The sequence below is a fragment of the Homo sapiens genome, chromosome 1 (genome assembly GCF_000001405.40).
Source record: "Homo sapiens chromosome 1, GRCh38.p14 Primary Assembly".
NCBI lineage: Eukaryota > Metazoa > Chordata > Mammalia > Primates > Hominidae > Homo > Homo sapiens.
The window spans coordinates 212,343,275-212,371,255 of record NC_000001.11 but is presented as its reverse complement, the minus strand read 5'-3'; the positions used below and the strand labels follow the sequence as shown (position 1 = coordinate 212,371,255).

At 39.1% G+C, this 27,981-nt stretch overlaps 2 protein-coding genes and 1 non-coding gene across 15 annotated transcripts in view, besides 3 other annotated features; 1 reads left to right on the top strand and 2 right to left on the bottom strand.

The window, feature by feature from the left end:
- Positions 1 to 7,328, top strand: part of PACC1 (proton activated chloride channel 1) — a 50,959-nt gene extending 43,631 nt beyond the window's left edge. For all 12 annotated transcript variants that reach the window (NR_165303.1, XM_047424319.1, NM_001377479.1 and 9 more), the window contains one exon: positions 5,880 to 7,328. Coding sequence is in view for 11 of the 12 variants with exons in the window: in XM_047424319.1 (XP_047280275.1) it covers positions 5,880 to 6,041 (162 nt within the window). In the remaining variant the exon portion in view is untranslated. The remainder of the gene's footprint in view (positions 1 to 5,879) is intronic.
- Positions 2,982 to 3,565: an enhancer, noted in NCBI's record as "H3K27ac hESC enhancer chr1:212541033-212541616 (GRCh37/hg19 assembly coordinates)". NCBI's record gives its function as "activates a minimal SCP1, AML or CMV promoter by ChIP-STARR-seq in naive H9 embryonic stem cells {active_cell/tissue: H9 hESC(naive)}" and the evidence as "EXISTENCE:reporter gene assay evidence [ECO:0000049][PMID:30033119]".
- Positions 3,566 to 4,151: an enhancer, noted in NCBI's record as "H3K27ac hESC enhancer chr1:212540447-212541032 (GRCh37/hg19 assembly coordinates)". NCBI's record gives its function as "activates a minimal SCP1, AML or CMV promoter by ChIP-STARR-seq in naive H9 embryonic stem cells {active_cell/tissue: H9 hESC(naive)}" and the evidence as "EXISTENCE:reporter gene assay evidence [ECO:0000049][PMID:30033119]".
- Positions 6,803 to 7,003: a silencer, noted in NCBI's record as "peak686 fragment used in MPRA reporter construct". NCBI's record gives its function as "represses an SCP1 promoter by STARR-seq MPRAs in K562 erythroleukemia cells {active_cell/tissue: K562}" and the evidence as "EXISTENCE:reporter gene assay evidence [ECO:0000049][PMID:32103011]".
- Positions 7,329 to 9,402: 2,074 nt separating the features above from the next.
- The window catches only part of PPP2R5A (protein phosphatase 2 regulatory subunit B'alpha), a 76,444-nt gene continuing 57,865 nt past the window's right edge, over positions 9,403 to 27,981 (bottom strand). For both annotated transcript variants that reach the window (NM_006243.4, NM_001199756.2), the window contains exons 5-13: positions 25,323 to 25,453; positions 23,850 to 23,909; positions 22,759 to 22,867; positions 22,014 to 22,067; positions 14,580 to 14,630; positions 14,187 to 14,306; positions 13,972 to 14,099; positions 12,469 to 12,570; positions 9,403 to 10,618 (exon numbers count right to left, since the gene is read on the bottom strand). In NM_006243.4, the coding sequence (NP_006234.1) occupies positions 10,486 to 10,618; positions 12,469 to 12,570; positions 13,972 to 14,099; positions 14,187 to 14,306; positions 14,580 to 14,630; positions 22,014 to 22,067; positions 22,759 to 22,867; positions 23,850 to 23,909; positions 25,323 to 25,453 (888 nt within the window). In that variant the 3' untranslated portion in view covers positions 9,403 to 10,485. The remainder of the gene's footprint in view (positions 10,619 to 12,468; positions 12,571 to 13,971; positions 14,100 to 14,186; positions 14,307 to 14,579; positions 14,631 to 22,013; positions 22,068 to 22,758; positions 22,868 to 23,849; positions 23,910 to 25,322; positions 25,454 to 27,981) is intronic.
- On the bottom strand, positions 18,306 to 18,438 carry SNORA16B (small nucleolar RNA, H/ACA box 16B). The gene has a single exon (NR_004389.1). It is a non-coding gene; the product is annotated as a small nucleolar RNA, H/ACA box 16B (small nucleolar RNA).

Below are 27,981 nucleotides of genomic sequence, written 5' to 3'. Positions count from 1 at the left end.
TTTTTTTTTTTTTTGAAATGGAGTCTTGCTCTATCACAAGGCTGGAGTGCAGTTGCGATCTTGGCTCATTGCAGCCTACGCCTCCTGGGTTCAAACGATTCTCCTGCCTCAGCCTCCCAGGTAGCTGGGATTGCAGGCACCCGCCACCATGCCCAGCCAATTTTTGTATTTTTAGTAGAGATGGGTTTCACCATTTTGGCCAGGATGGTCTTGTTCTCTTGACCTTGTGATCTGCCGGCCTCAGCCTCCCAAAGTGTTGGGATTACAGGTGTGAGCCACTGCGCCCGGCCTCAAACAACTAACTTTTCATTTAAGTTTCAGTTTCATTTATTTCTGCTCTGATAATTATTATTCTGATAAATTTGGGTTTGTTCTTTTCTCGTTCTTTGAGGTGATCGTTAGCTTATTTGAAATCTCTACTTTTTTTGATGTAGGCATTTATTATAAACTTCCCTCTTAGTACTGCTTTTGCTGTATCTCATAGGCTTTGGTATATTGTTTCCATTTTCATTTGTTCAATAAATGTTAAAATTTCCTTCTTAATTTCTTCATTGACCTTTGGTCACTAAGGAGCATCATGTTTAATTTCCATGTATTTGTACAGTTTCCAAAATTCCTCATTATTGATTTCTAGTTTTATTCCACTGTGGTCAGACAAGATACTTAATATGATTTTAATTTTTCTGAATTAGTTGAAACTTGTTTTGTGGCCCAACATATGGTCTCCCCTGGAGAATGTTCCATGTGCTGATGAGAAAAATGTATATTCTGTAGCAGTTGGAGTTTTGAGACGGAGTCTCGTTCTGTCGCCCAGGCTGGAGTGCAGTGGTGTGAACTCGGCTCACTGCAAGCTCTGCCTCCCGGGTTCACGCCATTCTCCTGCCTCAGCCTCCCGAGTAGCTGGGACTACAGGCGCCTGCCACCAGGCCCGGCTAATTTTTTTTGTATTTTTTGGTAGAGACGGGGTTTCACTGTGTTAGCCAGGATGGTCTCAATCACCTGACCTCCTGATCTGCCCACCTTGATCTCCCAAAGTGCTGGGATTACAGGCGTGAGCCTCCGCACCTGGCCAGATGAAATGTTTTGTAAATGTCAGTTAGGTCCATTTGGTCTAGAGTATAGTTTAAATCCCATGTTTGTTGATTTTCTGTCTAGATAAGCTGTCCATTTTTGTGAGTCGGACGTTGATGTCCCCTACTATTACTGTATTGCAGTCTGTCTCTCCCTTTAGATCTATTAATATTTGCTTTATATATGTGGTTTCTTTGATGATACTGGATGCATACATATTTACAGTTGTTGTATCTTCTTGTTGAATTGACTCCCTCATCATTACATAATGATATTTGTCTCTTTTTCCAGTTTTTGACTTGAAGTCTATTTTATCTGTTACAGGTATAGTTAAACCTGTTTTTTTATTTACATTTGTGTGGGATGTCTTTTTCTATCCCTTCACTTTTTTTTTTTTTTTTTCTGAGATGGAGTCTTGCTCTCTTGCCCAGGCTGGAGTGCAGTGGCATGATCTTGGCTCACTGCAACCTCCACCTCCCGGGTTCAAGTGATTCTGCTGCCTCAGGCTCCCAAGTAGCTGAGATTACAGGCATGCGCCACCACACCTGGCTCATTTTTGTATTTTTAGTAGAGACAGGGTTTTGCCATGTTGACCAGGCTGGTCTCAAACTCCTGATCTCAAGCAATCTGCCCACCTTGGCCTCCCAAAGTGCTGGGATTATAGGCATAAGCCATCACGCCTGGCCTGTCTCTTCACTTTCAATCTGTGTATCTTTACAGGTGAACTATACGCTGTATGGCAGCATACCGTTGGGTCTTGTTTTTTAATAAATTCAGCAACTGTGTCTTAAGAATTTGGTCCATTTACATTCAATATTATTACTGATAGAGAAGGACTTACTACGGCTATTTCGTTTTTTGTTTTTTGGTTTTGTAACTTCATTCTTCTTACTGTCTTTGTGGATAAATGATTATCTCTTTAAATTCCTTACTTTTTATTTTTATTATATCCATTATAGGTTTTTGCTTTATGGTTACCATAAGGCTTATAAAAAACATCTTGCAGTTAAAACAAGTTATTTTAAATTGAGGACAACTTAACTTTGATCACAAAGAAACAAAAAACTTTTAAAACTACACTTCAACTCCATACTCCTCACATTTTGACTTTTTATTATATCTATTTATATTTTTGTTTTGCCTCTTTTTTTTTTTTTTTGAGACGGAGTCTCACCCTGTCACCCAGGCTGGAGTGCAGTGGCCCAATCTCAGCTCACTGCAAGCTCCCGGGTTCACACCATTCTCCTACCTCAGCCTCCCGAGTAGCTGGGACTGCAGGCACCCGCCACCACGCCCGGCTAATTTTTTGTATTTTTGGTAGAGACAGGGTTTCACCGTGTTAGCCAGGATGGTCTTGATCTCATGACCTTGTGATCCGCCCGCCTCGGCCTCCCAAAGTGCTGGGATTACAGGCATGAGCCACCGCACCCGGCCAAGGCCATTGACTCTTGATTTACCCTTTTGAGGCTATTTTCTAGACCTTGTGAGTGTTCTTCATTCTTTTTTTTTTATTTGTGTATTTTCATATAATTTGTCTTTAAGCTCACTAATTCTTCTGCTTGATCAATTCTGTGAGGCACTCTGATGCATTTTTCAGTCTGTTAATTGTACTTTTCAGCTCTAGGATTTTTATTTGAATTTTTAAAAATTATTTTAATCTCTGTTGAATTTCTTTGATAAATTTCTGAATTGAGTCTTTGTGTTTCATTGAAGTTCCTGGAGTTTCCTCAGAACATCTATTTTGAATTCCCTGAGTGGTCACACATCTCTCTCTCCCGGATTGGTCACTGGCACCTTAGTCTGTTTGATGAGATTGTATTTCTCTGAACTTTTCTGGTGCTTGTGTACGTCTGTCTATGGGCATTGAAGATTTAGGTGTTTATTTCAGTCTTCACAGTCTGCCCTTGTTTATACCCATCTATCTTCAGGAGATTTTCTACAAATTGAAAGGTGACTGATGATGAGTTCCCTAAGCGTGTAGTCAGTCACTGCAGCTGTTTCAGCACTAGAGGGCAGTCTAAGCCAAGTTACACTGTGACTATCTTGTAGACTTCTAGATATCCAGCCCTGATGTACTTGGGGAGGATCAGAGAGAATGCCCTGGGGGTTCCCAGGCAAAGTCCCTTATCTTTCCCTCAAGGGGAAGGAGTCTCTCTGCTCTGAGTTGCCTGGAGTTGGGGAGGGGTAAGGCAGGTACTCCCATGGCTGTCACAGCTGGCACCACCCTGGGTCCCTCCTAAACCAATGCAATACTGGGGTTTGCTTAAGGCCACTTTAGTCAGCCAGTGGTGAAGCTGGCTGGGGTTTGGGTCCATCCTGCTAGGGTGGCCGATTGCCTTTTGGCCAGGGTGGGTTTAGAAGTGCCATTTGGGAGCAATAGCCTATAATTAGGGGATTCGGGATTCTTCCTGGTGCTGTGGCAGGGCTGGTACTAGGTTCCAAGGCAAAGTCCCTCATACTCTTCCCTCTCCTTTGCCCAAGCAGGAGTGTTCCACCATGCTGCACTGCCTGGAGTTGAGGCAGCTGGTGTCATGCTGGATCACACCCCAAACCCACAGACTCCCAGACCAGTGCAGTATCAGAGCTGTGGTTGCTATGGCCTGGCTGCCACTGAAATTATTTGGGGCCTAAGGCCACTTTAGTCTATTGTAAAGTGGGCCCAGACTTGGTTTCCTCCCACTGGGGTGGTAGATGCCCCTCTGATCTGGGGTGGGCCTAATACTCTTTTCACGGGCTCTAGCCTGGAATCAGGGCCTCAGAATTCTGCCTGGTGCTGTTTTCCCTTGTGAAGTTCCAATGCAAGTTCCAGACTCACTTCCCTCTCCCAAGCTCACAGATTCTCTCTGCTGCACTGCCTAAGGTTGGGGGAGGGGTGTGTAGGCAGCGTGAGACCCTCCTTTCTACTCTTCTTCAGTGTGTCTTTTCCTGTTATTATACTAAACCAGATACTGTGATCTCTCACCTGGTTTTTTGGCTCTTGTGTAGATACTTTCTTACATGGATAGCTGAGTTTGGTGTTGCTGCAGAGGACTATCGCTGGAGGGTTCTCTTTAGCCATCTGGCTCCACCTCCTCTAACGTCAAATTCTGACTCATGATCTTGGAAGGGGAGGAATAATTGGACAGCTTTGCTAAAGGAACATTTAAGACACACCGTCCACCAGAGCCAGGCCTAAATCTAGTATTGATTGGCATTCATGTCATCATAATATATCCTGATGTGATCATGGCTTACAGGAAACTGTTTCATAGCTGAGACCCAAACGTGTAAGCTTCCACCCCCAGGTGGGGATTCTGTGATACGGATGTGCTTGCTCTGCTATCACCCACTACCACTATTAATTATGGACTGGCAAGGCTTTGTATGAAGAGGGATGTGCAGAGGCTTATTGAATCAAGACTGGGGAGAAGGGCTTGCAGCTCGTTGTGTAATGTGTGATAAAACATTTTTTAACCTACTATATTCAGTATGAGGTACCTATTATGGGCCAAGTGGAGCCCAGTACCCGAGGCATGCTTTACTCAGCTTCACAGCAGTCAAGTGGTGGTATCACCATTTTCATATGTGAACAATGAAATGCATACTAAGGTCACCCTGCTAAATTGAGCTTAGAAGTATTTTATTTGGGAGGCTGAGGCAGGCGGATCACGAGGTCATAAGATCGAGACCATCCTGGCCAACATGGTGAAACCCCGTCTCTACTAAAAATACAAAAAATTAGCCGGCCGTGGTGGCATGTGCCTGTAGTCTCAGCTACTCGGGAGGCTGAGGCAGGAGAATAGATTGAACCCGGGAGGCGGAGGTTGCAGTGAACTGAGATCGCGCCACTGCACTCCAGCCTGGCGACAGTGAGACTCCATCTCAAAAAAAAAAAAAAAAAAAAAGTATTCTTACCAGGTTGTGGAAGTCAGAAATCCAAGATAAGAACTCTGCCTTAAAGAGTTACAACTCTGCCTTCAAGAGTTAGTGAGAGAACAATCCTATTGTTTTAAATTATTGATTCCAGACCATAAGGAACTGTGAAGGGCATTCATAGGATAAATAGCTCTGCTGAAGTCCAGAAAGGGTTTTAGCTTAGTGGTCAGGGAAAGCTCTGAGACTTTGAAGGATGAGTAAACCTAGACAGGAGGAAAGCATCGTAGATGGGGAAAAGAGCAGAGGACTGGAGGCAGGAATCCTCCTCTGAGTTTGGGAGGAAAGACAGCCATTGGACTAGAAATGAGGAAACACTTGAAACTATGGTAACTATGAGATGGGAACAAGAGGAGCTCACCTTCTTATGGACTGGGTATAGTTTTAGGGAAATTCATCTCAAAGCAAGGTCACTTATTGTTGGATTAGGCCACAAAATTAAATATTGCCTATCTTATTTGTGCAGAGCTTTTTTGAAAAACAGCTTTCTTTCAGAATCACTTTATTATAGGGAGGAGTCAGTATTTTTCTCCTCAAACTGAGCTATGGACATTAAAAGTATAGTCTGAATGAAGTATATAGAGTTATGACAGTTTCAGAACCCAGGTATTTTTCTTATAGTCCCAATAATTTGGGAAGGGCTCTTGATAATAACACTACTAAACATACAAAAAATTAGCCAGGTGTGGTGGCAGGTTCCTGTAATCCCAGCTACTCGGGAGGCTGAGGCAGGAGAATTGCTTGAACCCAGGAAGCGGAGCTTGCACTGAGCCGAGATTGCGCCACGCACACAAGCCTGGGTGACAAGAGCGAAACTCCATCTCAAAAAAAAAAAAAAAAAAAGAATCAAGACTGAAGCAAACCAGTAATCCTGTTTGTTTCTGTTTGCTTCACAGATAGTCACTGCCAATCCTTGGAACACAATTGCTCTTCTCTGTGGCGCCTTCTTGGCATTATTTAAAGCAGCAGAGTTTGCCAAACTGAGTATAAAATGGATGATCAAAATTAGAAAGAGATACCTTAAAAGAAGAGGTCAGGCAACGAGCCACATAAGCTGAAGTCACCTCGCGTTGTTTAGAGAACTGTCCACATCAATGGGAGCTGTCATCACTTCCACTTTGTAAACGGAGCTATCAACAATCCTGTACTCACTTGAAGAAATGGGGCCTTGCTGGGAGGAACAGCATGTAAAACTGGAACTTCTAACCCCGTCCCAAAAGAGGCGGTGTAGAGCCTAATAGAAGAGACTAATGGATAAACCTACAAGTTATTTAAATATTTAAATTATTAATAAACTTTTTAAAGAGCTGGCCAATGACTTTTGAATAGGGTTTGTAGAAGATGCCTTTCTTCCTGTTTGGTTCATTGTATTGTATTAGGTTAAGCTCTACTAGGGTAATGAAGGCTCTACTTTTCACTTTTTAAAAGTGGACAAAAGAGTGTGATTTTCTTTTTCCAAAAATTCCTGAGTATCAAGACGTGCAGGTCATGCTTTGGAGCCTATGCACTGTACACAAAGGCAAAACCCTATGACTTTGGCATCATCTGCCATTGATGTCCAGCCTCTGACATGCTCTTTGATTTGTTAAATGTTAAATGAGACTTTAAGGCTACTAGAAACTAGTAATTAAGTTTCTTAATGGACTGAGTAGCCACCTACTTGTCCGGCTAGAATGTTTGTTGATGTATGAGTTTAGATTAACACTCAAAAGCACTAGGACAGATGTACATAGAAGGTGCCTACTCATTGTATTTTGATGATTTCATTAACAGGTAAATAAAAGTTAATACAAAAGGAACGAGTGTGACAATATGAATATCTGCTCAATCATCGGGCACAATTACTTTCATTTGGTGACTTCCAAGGACAAAAAGGTAGTATGAGTCTGGACTCCCAAGATGGATCTGACTCCCAAGGTATGTTCTAACTGCTTCCAGGGAAGGGTTTGTTAGGCATGGCAACTGATGGCAGGTGTCCAGAAAGAGTGACCTGGTGTCCCCGAGGAAGCTGGGTTAACTCTTTACTGTGTCCACAAAACTACCCATCATATGAGGAAGGGGCATACGCAGTGTGACCCTCAAAAAGCTTTTAGCCTAGCCTTTGACAGAAATGAGTATGCATTAAAAAAAAGTCTATTTTTCACATTAAGGTTCTAAAAATTGTTTCCAGAGTTTTAAATTATTTATGTGCCTGTTGCTTCAAAGAGGACTTGGTAGCATTTCCTAAATTTTGTAATCTGGCTTCCGATAATCCAAAGGGAATAACTCAAATGTATGAATAGGCATTTTAAATGGGAAGAAACTGTTTTTTGGATGAATGATTAAAAGTGAACTGTATAAAGAAATATTCCCTGCCACTTTTCTGCTCCACAGAAGCATGAGAATTCAAGTTTTAGCCTAGGTCTCTTTATAAAATCTTATTTTATTGCAGGGCAAATGCAAAGCCAGGCATAAAAGCTTACATTAACAGTACTGATAAAAAGGGGAGTGAAAAAGGGGGGTGTGTTTTTTTAAAGCATGTCTGACAATATGTCACTTTCTCTTTTTTTTTTTTTCTTTTTTTTCTTTGGAGACAGAGTCTCACTCACTCTGTTGCCAGGCTGGAGTGCAGTGGCGCTATCTCGGCTCATTGCAACCTCTGCCTCCTGGGTTCAGGTGATTCTCCTGCCTCAGCCTCCCAAGTAGCTGGGATTACAAGCATGTGCCACCATGCCTGGCTAATTTTTGTATTTTTAGTAGAGACAGGGTTTCACCATATTGGCCAAGCTGGTCTGGAACTCCTGAGCTCAAGCAATCCACCCGCCTCAGCCCCCCAAAGTGCTGTGATTACAGGCGTGAGCCACTGTGCCCGGCCAGTCACTTTAATATTACTTAAATATCTAATAAAATTTGTTTCAATGAACATACTATATTCTCTGTATTGTAGAAAGTTGAGACTGGGCATGGTGGCTCACGCCTGTAATCCCACCACTTTGGGAGGCTGAGGCGGGTGGATCACCTGAGGTCAGGAGTTCGAGATCAGCCTGACTAACATGGTGAAACCCCATCTCTACTAAAAATACTAAAATTAGCCGGGTGTGGTGGTGCGCGCCTATGATCCCAGCTACTTGGGAGGCTGAGGCAGGAGAATCACTTGAACCCAGGAGGCAGAGGTTGCAGTGAGCTAAGATCATGCTACTGCACCCCAGCCTGGGCAACACAGTGAGACTCTGTCTCAAAATAAATAAATAAATAAATAAATAAAGTTGAGAGACCTATTAAATCTGCTTTCATGTAAGCACATAATTAGGAAGTGAACGATTTTACCTTTTCAGAGAGAAAAACCTTTATTAGCTGTAACCTGTCAAAATCTACTCTGGTTGCTCTTCAGTAAAAGAAATATACCTAAACCTTCTACAGAATAGACATTTAGACATAACCTTCACTTTCTGGAAAGGCAGGCGCTTGCCTTTTCCTTCTGTTTTGTGTAGGATCATCATTTTTAACTGCGCTGTCCCCCAGCTGTCAGCAATACTAGCTGACCCTGGGTGAGTGTAGAGAATCTAGAAGGAACACCTTAACCTGATGGCCATGACAAGATGACTCTGCAATACCTACTACTTGAGAAAAACAAAGCATGAGCTATTGTTGTAAAAGAATTTTAGTGCTCTTCCTTTTGGTACACTGCTTTCATGATGACCTGGGAGTAGTGTGCATCCCCTGTGCTAGAGTTTTTAATATTAAAGCAGAAGTAAACATCAGTAGCAGATAACACTTTATTACAATAATGTCTGATTTCTTTCTCTTTTTTTGAGACAGAATCTTGTTCTGTCGCCCAGGCTGGAGTGCATCTTGGGTCATTGTGGGCTCAAGCGATTCTCTTGCCTCAGCCTCCCGAGTAGCTGGGATTGTAGACGCCCACCAGCACGCATGGCTAGTTTTTATATTTTTAGTAGAGACAGAGTTTCACCATGTTGGCCAGGCTGGTCTTGAACTCCTGACCTCAGGTGATCGGCCCGCCTCGGCCTCCCAAAATGCTGGGATTACAGGCGCGAGCCACCGCACCCAGCCAATAATACCTGATTTCTAACTGTGCCACAGGCTCCCTGCTCTTCACTAGAAGTGCTATTTATTATGGATTATGAAAAATTAGCTTCAAAGTAAATTAAACCCATCCTCTTAACATACAAGGATATGAAAGATGATGGAAAGATATCCTAGAACTTAGAATTTTATGCAAATATTCTGTAAAACATATTTTGGTAAAGGGCTAGAACACTCAACCTTGGCACACAATCTTCCTATTTTTAAATTAGACTTCGTCCCACAATTTGTCTTAAAAGTTTCTATAAATACACATATGTATGTAAAAAGGGGGGCAGACTTCTCCTGTATGCCTAAGCTTAGAGCTAAAAGAAGCAAAGATGACATAAGGCAAAATACAAACATAGACTTTATTAAATGCTGCTCAATCCCCCAATGAAGATCTTTCATTACAAAACAGTTTTCCACACAACTGCAAGTTAAGAGATTGGAATGGTACTCTGATAACAAAAGATGTGAGAAATACTTGACCAAGTAAAAACATACAAGACCTCTATATAGTCAACCTTTTCAGAGCTCTACAGAGGAAGCCTACTGCAGTTCCTTTAAATAAAGCCAGGCAGTGACAACTAGTGCTCTGTATCACCACACTGTGGGACTCAAAGCCTCCATCCCTGGGTCAGGAGGGACTAGGTGAAGGACAGGTTGTGAGGACTGGAAAGGCCCTGCCTTCAGCCTTTGAGAGGAAGAGGAGGAATGAATTGAGAGGCAAGCTGGGTAATTCACCTGAGCTGCCTCTACCCATCTGTTACCACTCTGGAGAATTGCAGAGGAAGGGGGATATTCATGAGGAACAATCTGAAGAATTTTGGTTTACTTTCCCAGCTTTTATTTATATTTTGTGCTTTAAAAAGCCTGGAGATTTAAGGTTTTGCCTAAATTCCAGAGTACAGTAATGTATTTATTGAGGGAGGGGTTAGGGCAGGTAATTCCCCCCATCATATTTCTGGGTGAGACAAAGAGAAGGGTAAGGATGATACCTTAGTTTTATTTTAGGAAGTATTTTTTCCTAGGATGTAACTAAGGTTTGCAGCAGTGTGAAAAGCACATTATAAAAGGGAAAAATATACAGAGCAGACTACCATATCTATGTGCAACACAATCAAAGAAGAATTCAAGTCATAATTCTTACCACTCCCATAATTATCTCACTCATATCATAGATGATAAAATTCATTCATTTCTGTGAAACTTCAGAAGTGACACAATAAATCCAATGATTAGACAAAGGTTACAATATACTATGGCCATGATACAGCACAGGGCTACGTTTAGTCCATATATTTTTCCATTTACAGTTGCCAGAAAAAATTGGCCTTTTAATTATATTATACTGATGAGGTTTGTTTTGTAATTTTTACATATTTCAAAAAAGCATACAAAACTCTGCCTATCCGGCAGAGGTGGGAGGCTTTTTTTTTATTCGGCACTTGTATTGCTGAGAATACTGTGCATGTTGTAAGCACTATTCTGTTTTTCTAGAGCTTTCTTTAGCTTTAGCTCCTCTAATTTTTTCCATAATTCTTCACGTTCCAATTCCTTCTTTTTCTCTCTGTAGATAAACCAAAATTTTTGTAATCAGAAATTATTTCAGAACCCAAAGAGAGGTGCTGTTTGACAGCTTACTGGAGAACACATTACTTACCCACATTTCACTTAAATCCCTCTGCTAAAGCTTTGGAGTCCACTTACCTGGAGCACCTAATTTCTTCTTGTCACTCTCCTAAATGTACTGAGTCTGTGCATCTCCTGTACCAGCTAGACGTTACTACTTGCTTTCTGTCCCCTACACATTATCACTACCATGACACTGTACTTTATAGTCAACAAAGTACTTACACGTCAATTTTCTCACGTAAACATCTTGCAGTTGTAGTAGTCTAATCAGTATTACAAAGGCTGAAGGGGCTGGCCACTAGGTCAGTAGGAAGCACTTCCTTCACCACACCAGACAGAAGCCACATCATTTTTGCCACTAACAGCCACATCTCTAGCCACTAACCAGTTTGTATCTTACTAGCTCCTCTTTTACATGTCAAATGAAAACTTTAGTTTCAGTAATCTTTCTCTAGAACAAAATGAAGGTCAAAATATTTCATATGTCGTTTCAACTAATTAATTTCAGTTCTAAGGAAAACATTTCTGAGTAACTTGAACCTGTCTATTCTGAAAGGCTCCATGAACATGTAAAACATAGGCTTATAATTCTGCAGTTATGAGTTAAAAGGACAAATCCTTTTAAAGGATTTGCTGATTTATGCAGGTAAGAAATGATGAGTATATTCTTAGTCATGTGAAATACATATTTTTCAAATACAAGTTTCCTATGATCCTAGTCATCTTATTTTCTTCCCATTGCTTCCTGAGGCTCAAAACATGTACTTAATTTCTATTCCTGCCTGAATGCTGCTATTTAAAGGAAATAATGCATTGAGTTAGTTATTAATGGGCTGGATGGCTTTGAAGAAAGGCTATCCATTTTCTACTTTAAGATAACCATAACTAGGAACTTGTCAAAATAGATAGCTTTTCTAAACAGAACAGGTAATATGCTTATTAGAAGTAAATGGTAACTGTTATCCTCAAATAATGGGTGGGCTCAGGTACACTGGTTACTAACCACTTAAGTTTAAGAAAGTGCTTCTTGAGTTTGAAATAAACATATGAGAAGAAAGTAACTCTTGAAAGATTATTTTATAGTAATTTATGAAATTCTCAAAAAGAGGTAATCACTAGGCCATGTTCCTAAAGGCTGATACGTGCTAACATTTATACTCTAAAATACATATTATTGCAAGGACAACATATTAATAGTACCCTAAGCCATATCATTATGTGACTTCCCTCTTCCCAAAGGAGAACTATGCTGACTTTAAAATACCACCTTCTGATAATCCACAGCGTAAGAATTACCTACTGCTAACAAAGAACACTTGAAAAGTAAAGCTCACTCTGGAAGCCCACGTGGACAAAAAGGATTTTCGTAAATGCATGGATAAAAAATCAAATTGTACAAATTGATATTTAAAATTCAGCATAAATTATATTTCATATGCAGATGCTAACAGACTGAGGAAATCTAAGGCTCAGAATGAGATAAACAGGATTTATGATCCACATTAAAATCATAATCTAACCATTTAGAGGAAGTAAATTATGTAACTACCCTCAAAAATAAATGCTACTGCTTTTTCTGCTTTAACAAATTTATAAAAATACTGGGGCTAGTTTATCTGGAAATGACTTATATGTTAAGAGACTTTCACATTGTAATGTTTACTATAAGGTAATTAACTTCTTAAATATGAAAATCTGAACTGAGAGAAGATACCTTCCTGAACTGAATCACATTCAACTAACATAAAATGTATAGATAATTTTGTAATTCAAAATATCAAATACCTCTGTCTTTCAGCTTTGTATGAGCTAGTAAGGTCATCGAAAAGCTTGCCATTCATTTCCATTAGGGTTTTCAGCACATTGTATACCAGTGCTACAATGGTCCTGAAATGAAAATGAGCCAGTCCTGAGTTATGATACTGCTAACAGAGAGGAAATGTAACACTATGGTCTCTAAAATGGGTTAAAGCTTGGCTGATTTCATTTAATCCATTTTAGAGATGATAAAACTGAGGCTCAAGAGGTTTGTAATATGCTCAAGGTCATACAGCAAGTGGTGGTAGAGACAGTCTAAGAAAACTTAAATCTTTTCCATTTTATCATGCTTACATTAAACTCTAGTTAAAAATGTTCACTATAGTTATCTTCATTTCTGCTTTACAGTCTCATGTCTGAAATCCTGAGTAACAACATTAAAAGAAGATGAAAAAGATCCAATTACCAAAACTTATGAAAAGTAGAAAGCCGGATAAGGATGTTAAAGAAGTTAGAATATATTACCCTTAGCACTTCGGCTTTCCCCTGGGACAGTGCCATTTATAGAGGGGAGACTATACACTGAGAGTAGACCAACACAACTCTGCATTAACGGAGTAGTTTGTGTATCCTCTGCAAATGTTCAGTTGGTCTCCCCAAGAGGGTTTGACCACAACCTCCAGGGAGATTTGCAATTTTAAATTGACATGAAGGCTGGGCACAGTGGTACATGCCTATAATCTCAGCACTTTGGGAGGCCAAGGTGAGATGATCACTTGAGCCCAGGAGTTTCAGTCCAGCCTGGGCAATATAGTGAGACTTCAACTGTCCAAAAAAAATAAAAATAAAAATTCGCTGGGTATGGTGGTGCACACCTGTGGTCGTAGCTACTCGGGAGGCTGAGGCAGGAGGATTGCGTGAACCCAGGAGTTTGAGGCTACGGTGAGGTATGATTGCACCATTGCACTCCAGTCTGGGCAACAGAGCAAGACTCTCTTTTTTTTTTTTTTTGGAGACGGAATCTTGCTCTGTCGCCCAGGCTAGAGTGCGGTGGCACAATCTTGGCTCACTGCAAGCTCTGCCTCCCAGGTTCATGCCATTCTCCTGCCTCAGCCTCCCGAGTAGATGGGACCACAGGCGCCCGCCACCACGCCCGGCTAATTTTTTGTAGTTTTAGTAGAGATGGGGTTTCACCGTGTTAGCCAGGATGGTCTCAATCTCCTGACCTTGTGATCCGCCCGCCTCGGCCTCCCAAAGTGCTGGGATTACAGGCGTGAGCCACCGCGCCCGGCTGTCTCTAAAAAAATTTTAAAAATAAATTGACATTAAGACCACATACTGAACAAACACACACATTTATAACTTGATAAAGGTATACGTATATAAAATACAGAATAGAATACAACTGATGTTAACCTTGGAGTAACTTCCAAATCTGTAATAGGTTTCAAGTATGAGTTAGGAAATCAATAACAAAAAGATATAAAAAAAAAAAAAGAAAAAAATACGACCTATATAAAAGATACTTACGGATTCCAGTGTTCTTTGGAAATTTTGTACAAACTGGCAAACATAATTGGCAGAATTTTATCAATGTTCTCCTCAATCAAACTAAGAATATATTCGTTATTCCAGAAGTACAATGCCCTTTCTGCAACCTAAAAAAAGACATTTAGAGAAATGTCAAAACTAAAATAGGAAAGAAATACTAGTGTAAAGTAAAGGCTTCACTGAAAACATCATACCTGAAAATGAGAACTGGATACACACTTGGATATCTGCTTGAAAAGTGGCTCTTCAATTTTTTTGAACTGTGTTGGTTCAATGACATCTAAGATTTCTTCAATTTCTCCTAAAAACATCACCTAGGTTAAAAAAATTTTATTTTAAGAAACATGATAAATTATGTGAAACTAATATAGAAACCATACAAATGAGAAGGTTAATCTGCATAGTATACAATAAGCAAAAAAATGTCTGGATGGCAGAGTTTACTATAGCACAGGTCTTCTACCAAGTCTGTGTACATCTCCCGCTCTTTAGCAACAGCAATACAGCCAGCCCAAAGAAGCATGGTTTATAGCCCTGGGATTGACAAGTTCTAGTAAAATGCACTACATTTAGTGAACAAAACCCACCTCTTTCTGACTGCAGGTTTTTGGCCAAAATTTCAGCAGTCCTCTGATCACCTGCGAAAAAGAAAAAGTTTAGCATGAATTTAATAACAAAGCTAGTTAATCCCAGCGTATTTTCCATAGCTGTGATTATATCAACACTCATTCTGAAGTAAATCAATATTGCTTAATATATGTGTATAAATAGACTTTCTGCTCAGCTTTAGAATTTTATTAATTCAACTAACATTTACTGGGTGCCTATTATGTACCAGATACTGTTCTAGATGCTAGGGACACACTGATGTACAAGACAGATGAGGTCTCTGGTTTTCACAGAGCTTACGTTCTAATGGAGGAAGACCAATGCAAGTGATCAATTAAACACATAAATAAAACAATTTAATAGTATGTGCTACTTCTAAGAAAATAAAGGAAAATATAAGTTGGTGGGGTGAGAGAGGGAGGTTATTTTAGGGAGAAACCTTAAGGAACAGATGATTCCTGTTATTTAAACCATTATGAAACACAAAAAAAAACCCTGGACAGCTTCTCAGTCTATTTCATGGCTAGCACAATCTTTATAACCAGAATACAATGAAACAAAAGAGACTATTTTTATTTATTTATTTATTTTGAGATGGAGTCTCACTTTGTCGCCCAGGTTGGAGTGCAGTGGTGTGATCTTGACTCACTGCAACCTCGGCCTCCCAAGTTCAAGCAATTCTCTGCCTCAGCCTCTCGAGTAGCTGGGATTATAGGCGCCCACCACCACACCCAGCTAATTTTTGTATTTTTAGTAGAGACAGGTTTCACCATCTTGGCCAGGCTGGTCTTAAGCTCCTGACCTTGTGATCCACCAGCCTCGGCCTCCCAAAGTGGAGACTATTTATTTAAATAAACAAAGTTGAAAACACTTGCATTAAACTGAATCACAATAGAAGAATGCTATATGCCTAATTGTAACTTATTCCAGAAATGCCAGGATGGTTCCATTCATAGGTTAAAAGGGGAAATAAAAAAAAAAAACCCAGATCATTTTAAAAGATTTTCAAGTCATTTGACATTTTTAATTGACTATATATTCTGATAAAAAAATTTAGTAAGCTAGAACTAAAAGAATTTATCAGAAACCACCAGCAATCATTCTACATAATGATTTATTAGAGACAGGCTGTAAAACCATCTAGGCCTGGTGGTTTTGTGGAAATAGATCTTTGACAGCTTTTTAGGTTACTTTATAGTCTGTCTGGTCCAGTAATGTGGAACACTAATTCAAATTAAAATTGGGAAGGATACTGTTTTGGAGACAATCCAGTAAGATAACAATGTGATGAATAATGTTGGAAAGGAATACCAGAATTACACTTATTTGTGTAACTGTATATTTATATATCCCTTAAAACTTAAAAAAAAACCCTGCAAGTTACTAGAGTGAGTAGGAAAATTCAGTATGTGGCCACATTAAAAAATACATATATAAAAATCAATACCTTTATAAAACATCAGTAAAAATCAGATGAATAATAAAAAGGTACTTTTCACAACAACAACTATAATGTGCATAAAGAATAAATTTGCAAGAAATACTTAAGACATATGGAGAAAAGCATAAAACTTTACTGAAGATCATAGAAGACTACAAATACAGTTATATGTCATTTAATGATGGGGATACGTTCTAAGAAATGTGTCATTAGGCAACTTCATCATTTAAATGTCACAGGGTGTACTTAAACCTAGATGGTATGGCCTACTACACACCTAGGCTGTATGGTGTAGCCTTTTGCTCCTAGGCTACAAACCTGTACAGGATGTTCTTGTACTGAATACCGTAGGCACTGTAGGCAGTTGTAACAATAGTATTTGTGTATCTAAACACGAAAGGTACAGTAAAAATATAGCATTATAATCTTATGGGATCACCATTTTTCTTTCTCTTGGAATCACATTTCTCTCTCTCTCTCTCTCTCTCAACATTTCTCTCTCTTTTTGATGAGGCCTCACTCTGTTGCCTAGGCTGGAGTGTAGTGACATGATCAGAGGTCATTGTAACCTTGAACTCCTAGGCTTATTGTAACCTTGAACTCCTAGGCTTAAATGATCCTCCTGCCTCAGCCTCCCAAGTAGCTGGGACTACGGGTGTATGCCACCACATCTGGCTAATTTTAATTTTTTACTTTTTGTAGAAACGAGGTCTTGCTCTGTTGCCCAGGCTGGTCTTAAAGTCCTGGCTTCAACCAATCCTCCTACCTTGGCCTCCCAAAGTGCTGGGATTACAGACATGAGCAACCATGCCCAGTTCCATTTTTATTTTTTAAGAGACAGTCCAGACTTGCATTGTCGGCCAGGCTGGGGTGCACTGGTGTGATCACAGTTCACTGCAACCCCCTAGGCTCAAGAGATCCCCCTACCCCAGCCTCCCAAGTAGCTGGGATTACAGTCCTGAGCCACCACGCCTGTCTGGGACTGACATTTTATATGTAGCCTGTTATTTTTATTTATTTATTTATTTTTGAGACAGAGTCTCGCTCTGTCACCCAGGCTGGAGTGCAGTGGCACGATCTCGGCTCACTGCAACCTCTGCCTCCCGGGTTCATGCTATTCTCCTGCCTCAGCCTCCTGAGTAGCTGGGACTACAGGCGCCCGCCACCAGGCTCAGCTAATTTTTTGTATTTTTAGTAGAGACGGGGTTTCACTGTGTTAGCCAGGATGGTCTCGATCTCCTGACCTCGTGATCTACCCGCCTCGGCCTCTCAAAGTGCTAGGATTACAGGCTTGAGCCACAGCGCCCGGCCCGTAGCCTGTTATTAAACGAAATGTCATTATGCAGCACATGACTGTAAATAAGTGAGGTGGTTCAATATTGTGCAGAGATATTTTTCCTGTACTTAATTTATAAGTAAATTTAATATAATTTCAATCAAATGCCAATTGAATTATTTTTTGGAACTAGAAACATTTATTCTAAAATCCATAAATATAAGCAAATAAGAATTGTTTTTTTGGTGGGGGGAGTTAATGGAACAGAACCTGTATTATGGATATCAGCAACTAAAACAAGATTATATTGGCAAAGAAATGGAGAGAAAAGATATATATGAGTATCTAGATATACTCATGTATATATGGATTTTAATATATGACAAAGGTGGCCTTTCAGTTCCATGGGAAACAGTGGTGGTACTGGGACAGGTAGCTCACTATTTAGAAAGGAAAAATGTAGCAGGCTCCTTTGGTTGGCAGACTTCTATGATGATCTCATGAGCTTGTTAACTGTCCTCACACCCTTGTGTAATCCCCTCTCCTTAAGTGTGAGCTGTCCTAGTGACTTGCTTCTAACGAACAGACTGTGGCAAAAGTGAAAGAATGTCACTTCATGAGTAAGATACAAAAGATTGTGACTTCTGTCTTACTAGTAGACTCGCTGTCTTGGCTTTGATGAAGTAAGGTGCCATGCTGGAGAAGCCTGGGTGACAAGGATCTGAGGGTGGGCTCTGGCCAACAGCCAGCCAGGAACTGAGGCTCTCAGTCCAACATAACTTGACAAACTGAATTCTGCCAACATACATGTGAACTTAGAAGCAGATCCTTCCCCATCTGACACTTTATATGAGACTCAACTTCTGGCCAACACTCCAACTGCAGCTTTGTAAGAGACCCTGAGCAGAGGGCCCACCTAAGCCATGACCAGATTCTGGATTCACAGCAACTAAGGCAACAAATGCTTGTCATTTTTCCTCCCAATGGAATGGTATTTTCCCAAAATCTTGCAGATCAGTTACAGCAAACAGAACTATGACCATCAAGGAAAACTGTCACTCTTGGCTTCTTTTTGACCACAGCAGCTACATGGAAGCAGCTGCAGCTTTGATAAAGGCCATAAATGCTTGCTATTTTAAGCCAATAAATTTTGTGATCATTTGATATGCGTAATTGAAAATGAATGCAGGCCAGGCATGGTGGCTCAGGCCTTTAATCCCAGCACTTTGGGAGGCCAAGGCAGGCTTGGGCCCAAGAGATCAATACCAGCCTGGGCATCATGGTGAAACCCCATCTCATCTTTACCAAAAATACAAAAAAATTAGCTGGGCATGGTGGTGCATGCCTGTAGTCCCAGCTACTTGGGAGGCTAAGGCAGGAGGATCACCTGAGCCTGGGAGGTCAGGGCTGCCGTCAGCCACAATCGTACTACTGCACTCCATCCTGGGTGATGTGGTGAGATCCTGTCTGAAAAAAAAAAAAACCCAAAACACAAACAAACAAACCCAAATGTAGTTCCTTACCCTCATCATACACAAATTTCAATGTCGGGCAGTATTGAATAACGAACACTGGGTTGACTAGTGGCCCCCAAAAAGATGTCAATGTGGGCCAGGTGCAGTGGCTTACAACTGTAATCCTAGCACTTTGGAAGGCCAAGGAAGGCACACTGCCTGATCTTAGGAGTTTGAGACCAGCCTGGGCAACATGATGAAACTCCATCTCTACTAAAAATACAAAAAAAAACCTAGCCGGGCGTGGTATCGGGCGCCTGTTATCTCAGCTACTCAGGAGGCTAAGGAACAAGAATTGCGTGAACCCAGGAGGTGGAGGTTGCAGTGAGCCGAGATGGTGCCACTGACTGCACTCCAGCCTGGGCAACAGAGTGAGTCTCTGTCTCAAAAAAATAAATAAAATATAAAATAAAATAAAAATAAAATAATAAAATAAAATATAAAATAAAATAAAAAAGAAAAATAAAAAAATTATTTTGGGGCTCAAGTTAGATTTTCTTGGAATAAGAACGGTGTTTTGTTTTGTTTTGCTTGTTTTATAAAAATGCAGCTTTGAGTGGAAGGAAAGGTTTACACTGCCAAAAAAATAAAAGTTTTGAAAGTCATGCCGACTCTTCATTTTTTTCCTCTTTACATGGAAACTTAGCTGTAATGAATATTTAGTTAATTCTTCCACTCTGCACTTTTTTCTTTTTAGACGGAGTCTCACTCTGTTGCCCAGGCTGGAGTGCAGTGCTGTGATCTCGGCTCACTGCAACCTCTGCCCTCCTGGGTTCAAGCCATTCTCCTGCCTCAAGCAATTCTGCCTCAGTCTCCCAAGTAGCTGGGATTACAGGTGCCCGCCATCACGCCCGGCTAATTTTTGTATTTTTAGTAGGGATGGGGTTTCATCATGTTGGCCAGGCTGGTCTTGAACTCCTGATCTCAGGTGATCTGCCTGCCTCAGCCTCCCAAAGTGCTGGGATTACAGGCTTGAGTAATAAACTAACAAAAGCTCTGAGCTACTTATAATTTGTAGAAAGCTTTGATAGGAATGCCTGCTTTCCAGAAAATTAGTATTAAGGCTTAAACCCAAGTAATATGGCCGTAATTTTGGTGCTGGAATGGCCTATGTTAGAAATTGCAAGATCTCTATATCGAGAGATCTTTATGAGTTGGAAAATATTTTCCTTTCTTAACCTGGGTATTTATCTTACTCTCTCTCCTCATCCTGCTCCTATTTTCATTAACCCAACTCAGCCAAACCAGATAAAAGCTGAATAACTGGCCATCATCCCTCTCCCTAATCGTCAAGGTTTTTTGTTTTTTTGTTTTTTTTTTTGTGTCATCTCGGCTCACTGTAACCTCCGCCTCCAGGGTTCAAGTGATTCTTGTGCCTCGGCCTCCCTAGTAGCTGAGATTACAGGCACACGCCACCATGCCCAGCTAATTTTTTTTTTTTTTTTTTAAGTAGAAATGGGGTTTCACCATGTTGATCAGGCTGATCTTGAACTCCTGACCTGAGGTGATCCGCCTGCCTCGGCCTCCCAAAGTGCTGGGATTACAGGCATGAACCACCATGCCCAGCCTCTATCTTCCATTCTTTAAAAATAAATCACCTGTCTTCCTTATCCACCCCAAATTAATTAAATAAAATTTTATTTGTATACTATTTACCAAGCATGAACCATGACTTTTCAATATGTGTTATTATGGGTTTTCTTTTTCTTAATTCTAATGGGAGTTATCATAGATTTGTATTAAGGTTTTACTTTTTTCTTTTTTTTTTTGAAGACAGAGTCTCACTCTGTTGCCCAGGCTGGAGTGCACTGGTATGAGCTCAGATCACTGCAACCTACGCCTCCTGGATTCAAGCAATTCTTGTGCCCTTGCCATCTGAGTAGCTGGGACCACAGGCCTGTGCCACCATGCCCAGCTAATTTTTGTATTTTAACTAGAGACAGGGTTTCACCATGTTGGCCAGGCTGGTCTCAAACTCCTGGCCTCAAGTTATCTGCCTGCCTCAGCCTCCCAAAGTGCTGGGATTACAGTTGTGAGCCACTGCACACCTGGGAATCAACTTCAGAGGTTTATGTGGTTTCATGTACAAATATATGGTTTCTAATTCTCCTGAATTGTCTTCAAAAACTGTTTACAGCTGTTTCTAGAAAAGACTGTAAATCTAAAAGTCAAAAAACTAATAAAAATTAAGGAGTGGAAAAATGTCTTTTGTTCCATTACACAAAGTTCAAGTGAAAGGGAGAATACTAAGTATATGATTTTTTCAAGCATCCCTACGGATAGCCTGAGAAGGTTCATAATATAGTAAAAATACATATATATTTTAGTTTTTCAAACCCTTTGCTATTTACTAAATATTTATTAGGTTGCTGCTAAAGTGATTGTGGTTTTTGCCATTAAAAGTAATGGCAAAAGCCGCAATCACTTTTGTACCAACCTAATACTAGGTAAATATTTAGACTGAACATGCCTAGAAAGCATTCTCTCAAAATACTTACTTCACCAAGGTTAAAATGTTTTCTATGCTTTTATACTTTTCTGTTTCACCCTACTTCATCTTTTGTTTTTCTTGAATCCTCAGTAAATTTTCATAACTAATTATGTTTTCACTCTCTCCTGAATTTTCATTCTAGAGGCAAATAACAGTAGAATTCAAAGCCTAAGTTGCCTTGCTGGTTCATAAACTACTTTTATTCCAAGATTACATCTTATATCTTAATCACCAAAAGCAAGGAAATGTTTTCTATCCCTATCAAGTGGTTTATTGTTAATGAGTGGCAAAAATTCTATTATTAAAAACAAAACAAAATTCAAGGGAGTAGTAGTTTTGGGACCCTCGAAGTATGCTTTAATTCCAAAAGGTGAATGAAGATTTAAAAGATTATTGGTGAAGACAGTATGCATATAAAATTTCACTGTGGTCATCTGATCCTATCATCGTACATCTTAACTACTACATATTAATAGTAGTCTATATTTCGGTTATTCAAGACATAACTCACGAGAACTCTCCCCTCCTAACCCCTTCTTTTAATGTAGATTAATCTCACATTTCTTCTTCTAAATGATTTTAGCTTAACGTACATTATTCTACTTAATAACTATAAAGGCTATAAAACGAAAGCTACAATGAAATGCTATTAATGCAGACCAAAAACATGAAAATAAATAGAACACTTACTGGCTCTGTTAGTGTTGTATCTTTCTCCAGGAACTGTACAACACAATATGCTAGCTAAAAGGTAAGGGACAGTTTATAAATATTAGTGAGATAACATTTAATAATGTAGGATTTTTATATTTAGCCAATATTTTTTAGACTACCTCATTTTGATAAATTATTCCAATATATAAAAATATACTCACAACTGTGAATGAAATTGTGAAATACCTCAATCGTGAAACTATACTCACAATTGTGTAACTTTTTAGCCTTGAAAGTAACTTCAAGTTTAAAAAACATTTTTAGTAGTAATTTCTGACTATAAAGTTAACTGAAATAAGACTAGAGCTAACAATTTAGTTTTTCAGCATGTTTCTACATGTACACCTATGCTGATATATTATTCTCTAAATATTAATAGAAGAGACCAAAATCTCTCTAACTAGGTCTAGGTTATTGCAGCTGGAAGAAACATTCTGTAGATATGTGGGATTTATTCAAAGTCACATAATTAGGTCAAGACCTGGACTATAATATGAGGAAAGTGTGTATCTTAAACTGTAAGTGTAGATATAGAAATTAAATAATTGGTCTTACTTAACAACTAAATACTTTAAAATAAGAAAAATTTGCTTTGGGTAATTTTGTAAGCAAATTGCTTAATTATACTTAAAACTGTCATCTCAGTATTTCTCAATTTCTCTGCCTTTATATTGGCCTTTGAAATAATATTCATTTCATCTGAAATGTTTCTGAAACTTACCTGAGCATGAAACAAAGCTAATCCTTTTGCAGTATGCATAGGAATAAGAACCTTCATTAGAAATTGTTTATGTTCTGCTTTCAGTGGCAATGCAAAGCCATTGATAATACTGGAGGGAAAAAAAGGCAGGGGAAGGGTTAAGTAGTTACTACTTTGTTTCTAAAAGCTGTCATATCCATGAGTACATAAGGAACAGTGCTATGCTTCAATCCTGGTGTTGTATGACTGCTCATCTTCAAACTACTTTAGGAAGACTATTACTATGAAGTCTGTTCCTCTAAGTCATTTGATGATTCCAAAAGAAAATTAGGACTGTCAATTAATTCCCAAGTAATTTCTATCTTCATTTTCTATCAAACCTGTCACTTTATGCATTGTTGCTTTTATTTTTGCCCCCAAAGCTCCAGGAGAGTCAGTACCACAATATTGTTAGAATGTTCAATATTTTTCTGAAGTAAATGGGTAATTTTTCTTACTTTGTTGGATAACGTGAAAGAAGTAGTTCTCTCCACAATCATTTTCTACTATTAATAAAGGAAACTAAAATCATTGTCTAAATAGTAACAGAAGGGTCTAAAATTCTCTTAATACTAATACGTAGTGAATAAGGAAGGCAAAGTGTTATGGCAAAAGGTAATAAGAATTCAGCTGAGGCTGGGCATGGTGGCTCACGCCTGTAATCCCAGCACTGTGGGAGGCCGAAGGGGGTGGATTGCCTGAGGTCAGGAGTTCAAGACCAGCCTGGCCAACACGGTGAAACCCCATCGCTACTAAAAATAAAAATTAAAAAATTCGTTGGGTGTGGTGGCAGGCACCTGTAATCCCAGCTACTCAGGAGGCTGAGGCTGGGGAATCTCTTGAACCCGGGAGGCAGAGGTTGCAGTGAGCCGAGAACGCGCCATTGCACTCCAGCCTGGGCAACAAGAGCGAAACTCCGTCTCAAAAAAAAAAAAAAGACTTCAGTTGAGAAACTATGTGTTCTACATTTAAACTCTAAAATATGACATAATTTCTCCAACCCCAGCTAAGATTTTAATACATAAAACATTCACTTACTTAATTCTTAAAAAGAACAAAAAAACCTGACCTACCTTCCTAATATTTCAAGAAGTTCAGCAACACCATTGAAATGTTCTGTTTCATATATAAACCTGAATTTAAAATAAAGACAAGATGTAATCAAAATCAAACTTCAGAAAACTAAGAGAAACAGGCAGGAGGGTGAAGAAATCAATCCAAAGGACAGCTATTAGAAACACACAAGCATGTTTTGGGTCTTATAAGCAGTTTTGCCCCAAACAGTTAATTCATATCAATCTTAAAAAAGAAGATGTTTCCTACTGAACTACATATGCCTTTGCCAAAACTCGCCATATGTGAAGATAACAGATTGTCATTTCACCTGGAATATTCAACTTAATAATTAATAAGAAAGATAAGTTTCCTCAAAGAAATACTTTTTAAAATAAGAAACCTCTAATTATAGGGAAATCCAAGAGAAAAAGACCCATATGTAATAAAGCCATTTTTAATCAGAATTTCTTTACACCTCTAACTATATAGGCTGCATAGCTTTCCAAGATTAGGGCTGCCTTTAAAGCAGGGAGACATAAATATAATAGGGCAGATATTTGAAATGGGCTTAGGAAGTGATGACAGAGAACTGGAGAAAGATATTCACTCTAGAGGAGGCAGATATTACTCATCTCTAATTGTTGCAATGTGGGAATAGTAACCAAATTTTGCCAGATCTTCAATTAATTAAACAAACCAAACCTTGAATGTGGGTGTTGTTATGAAATCTCCTGATCTGAAGCAACTACTTAACAGATTAATATTTATAAAGTACACTTGGCCCTGTATCCGCAGGTTTCATTATCTGTGCATTCAACCAACTACAGATCAAAAATATTTTTGAAAAATAAATACAAATTTAAAATATAGAATAACATCTATTTGCACAGCATTCACACTGTATTAAGTATTGTAAGTAATCTAGAAATAAAGTATACAGGAGGATGTGTGGACGTTATATGCAAATACTGTGCCATTTTATATAAGGGACTTTGGATTCTGCTATTAGCAGGGGCCCTGGAATCAATCCTCCCCAGATACTGAGGGATGACTACAAGCAAATGATAGGCCCCATATAAGAGGACTGCTTGAGTTCAGGAGTTCAAGACCAGCCTGGGCAACATACATAGTATGTTACATATATACTACGTTACATATATATGTTACACATATATACTATGTTACATATATATGTTACATATATATACTACGTACATACAGTACATAGACCTTGTCTCTACTAAAAGTCAAAAAAATTACCCAGGCGTGGTGGTGCACACCTGTAGTCTCACTACTTGGCAGGCTGAGAGAGGAAGATTGCTTGAGTCTGGGAGATGGGGGCTACAATGAGCTATGTTCTCACCACTGCACTCCAGCCTGGATGACAGAGTGAGACCCTGTCTCAAAAAAACAAATAAAAATAAAAGAACTTGAATACAAGAAGATATGTAGGAGGAAAAGGTGCAATATACAATAAATGATTAATTTACCTGAGGAAAATGTTGTTAATTTGTTTTCTGATGAATGCTCTTAATCCAAGAAATTTCCCATAAATTCGGTGCAGAACAGTCTTCAGGAAGTCACGTTCTCTGGGATCTTCACTATCAAAAAGCTCCAGGAGCTTTAAAAGAAACCTGAGAAATTACTTTTAAAAAATAATCGAGCTAAAGCTTTATTCTAATTTTGATCTTAAAGATTATCCATGACATCTTTTAAAAATTTTTTAGAGTTCTTCCTTACCACACTGACTTTATTCTTGCTAAGTAATGAAGGTGAGGAAAAGCTTAGGAAATATTTCTTCTCACTTATTTCACTTCAAAATATGACATTTACAATAAATATAAATATTTCAAAAAGTGGATTTTTCTTTACCTTCCCACTGATTTTAAAATTCAATCCTACTCTTGAATACTAAAGAGGCTCACAATTTTGGAGTGTTAAAATTTGGGATTTTTAATGCTTTTTGATCGTCAAAACTACATAGAAAATCGTTTAAGTTTTTAGATTGCAAGTCATCAAATAGTCTTAAAAAGATCCATGTGTAAATGTATATTTCTAGTTTACTAGAAAGATGTACATATACTAAGACTTCTTTTTGTGAATTTACAATAAATTCAAGACAGTTACCATGCAGACATTTGAAAAATTAACATTCAGTTATTAGAATAAAATATTGGCAGATACATACTAATAGAGTAGAAATCATATATAAAATAACACTGGACTAAAAGATGAGGCCAAATTTTTTTTTTTTTTTTTTTAAGACAGTCTTGCTCTGTAGCCTAGACTGGAGGGTAGTGATGCAATCACAACTCACTGCAGCCTCGACCTCCTGGGGTCAGAAGATCCTCCTGCCTCAGCCTCCCAACTAGCTGGGACTACAGGCACATGCCACCACACCCAGCTAATTTATATATTTTTTGGTAGAGACGGGGTTTCACCATGTTGCCCAGGCTGGTCTCAAACTCCTGAGTTCAAGCGATCCACCCTCCTCGGTGTCCCAAAGTGCCAGGATTATAGGCGTGAGCCACTATGCCCAGCCCATAGATTTTTCAGCTTAGCAAATAGCTGAAAAATTTTAAACCAGTTCCACAGTCAGCACTCTCCTATACCTCAATTGGCCCAATCAGTGTACTCCTATATTCTGCACAACTTTTCAGCAAAACCTGAGAGAAGAGACTTTAGAAAAAGTTAAAGTCAAAATCTCAAATTTCCATTTAAAATGGTAAAGAAACTTAATTTCTTCTGTCAAAAAAAACACTGTATTTTAAACATTGGATTTTCTTAGAAAAATATAAAATACTCTCTCTAGAGTACAAGTATCTGTAAAGCTGTCAAGGAATTTTATGTTCTGAACTTTCGTGTTTATAATTACAATAAAGATAGCAAGCTCTGAACCTCATCAGAAGTTCTTATTCCATTTTGTTTTGAATTATATACAATTGCTAACACATGCATCTGAAACCAGAGTGGATGACTTAAATCATATTTATATCTCCCAAAACAACTGCCATACTTATAGTTTCCATTCTTTGTTTGCTAGGCTGTTAAGGCCCTCATGAGACTCCAGCAAAAAATATCTACGGAGTATGAGAATTTTTGTTAATATATCTAATAAGTTCACATCAAATTATTCTAATTAAAAATGGCAGCCGGGCAAAGTGGCTCTCAACTGTAATCCCAGCACTTTGGGAGGCCAAGGCAGGCGGATCACTTGAGGTCAGGGATTTGATACCGGCCTGGCCAACACAGTAAAACCCTGTCTCTACTAAAAGTACAAACAAAAATTAGCCAGGCATGTCGGCACATTTGCAGTCCCAGCTACTTGGGAGGCTGATCCAGGAGAATCGCTTGAACCTGGGAGGCCGAGGTTGCAGTGAGCCAAGATCCAGCCACTGCACTCCAGCCTGGGCAACAAGAGCAAAACAGCCATATAAACTGCTAAAAGCAATTACTGGGCCCTAGCTTCTCAGATAATTCAAGCATTTAAAGTAGAAGGTAGAAAACAGATCCTGCCCCACCAGTTTTCTTTTTGCTCCCCTCACACCACAAAATAATACAGCAGCTTAAATACCTCAAGCTCTAGACTAACAAAGCACTAAGGCAATTGTTCCCCTCAACCTGTTACTGTATTAAATACAATTTCATATGGCATTACTAGAGCTCCCTAATGTATCCCACACAAGAGCTGCACAAGGAAATAAACAGGCATTCATTTGCAATTACCAAAATAACATAACTCCATTTAATGTAATTTTTAGTCATGATTAAAATGTATATGTTACTGTTAATACACACCTAATATTTCTTTATAGTTTATGAAGAGCTACTTCAATGGTTGAAGGAAATATTTTAGGCTGACAATGTTCTTCATTTATCAATCCTTCACAGCAACAGGTCAGAATACTTTATATGAGGTCAAGGGTAGTTATGAATGACCAAAGATCAGCTCTAAATATACCAAACTCACATTAGTAGAATTTTTATCATAGGGCACATACAAAGCGGTCTGAAGGGTAGGAAAGGTCCTTGCAATGATTTTAATCCTGGCCTCAGCATCAAATTCCTAAAGAGGCCTGCATACTCAGGCCTAGAAATGCCTAGAAAGGTTTGGTCTACTTCACAATTTTCTTTGGGGCCAGCCAATTC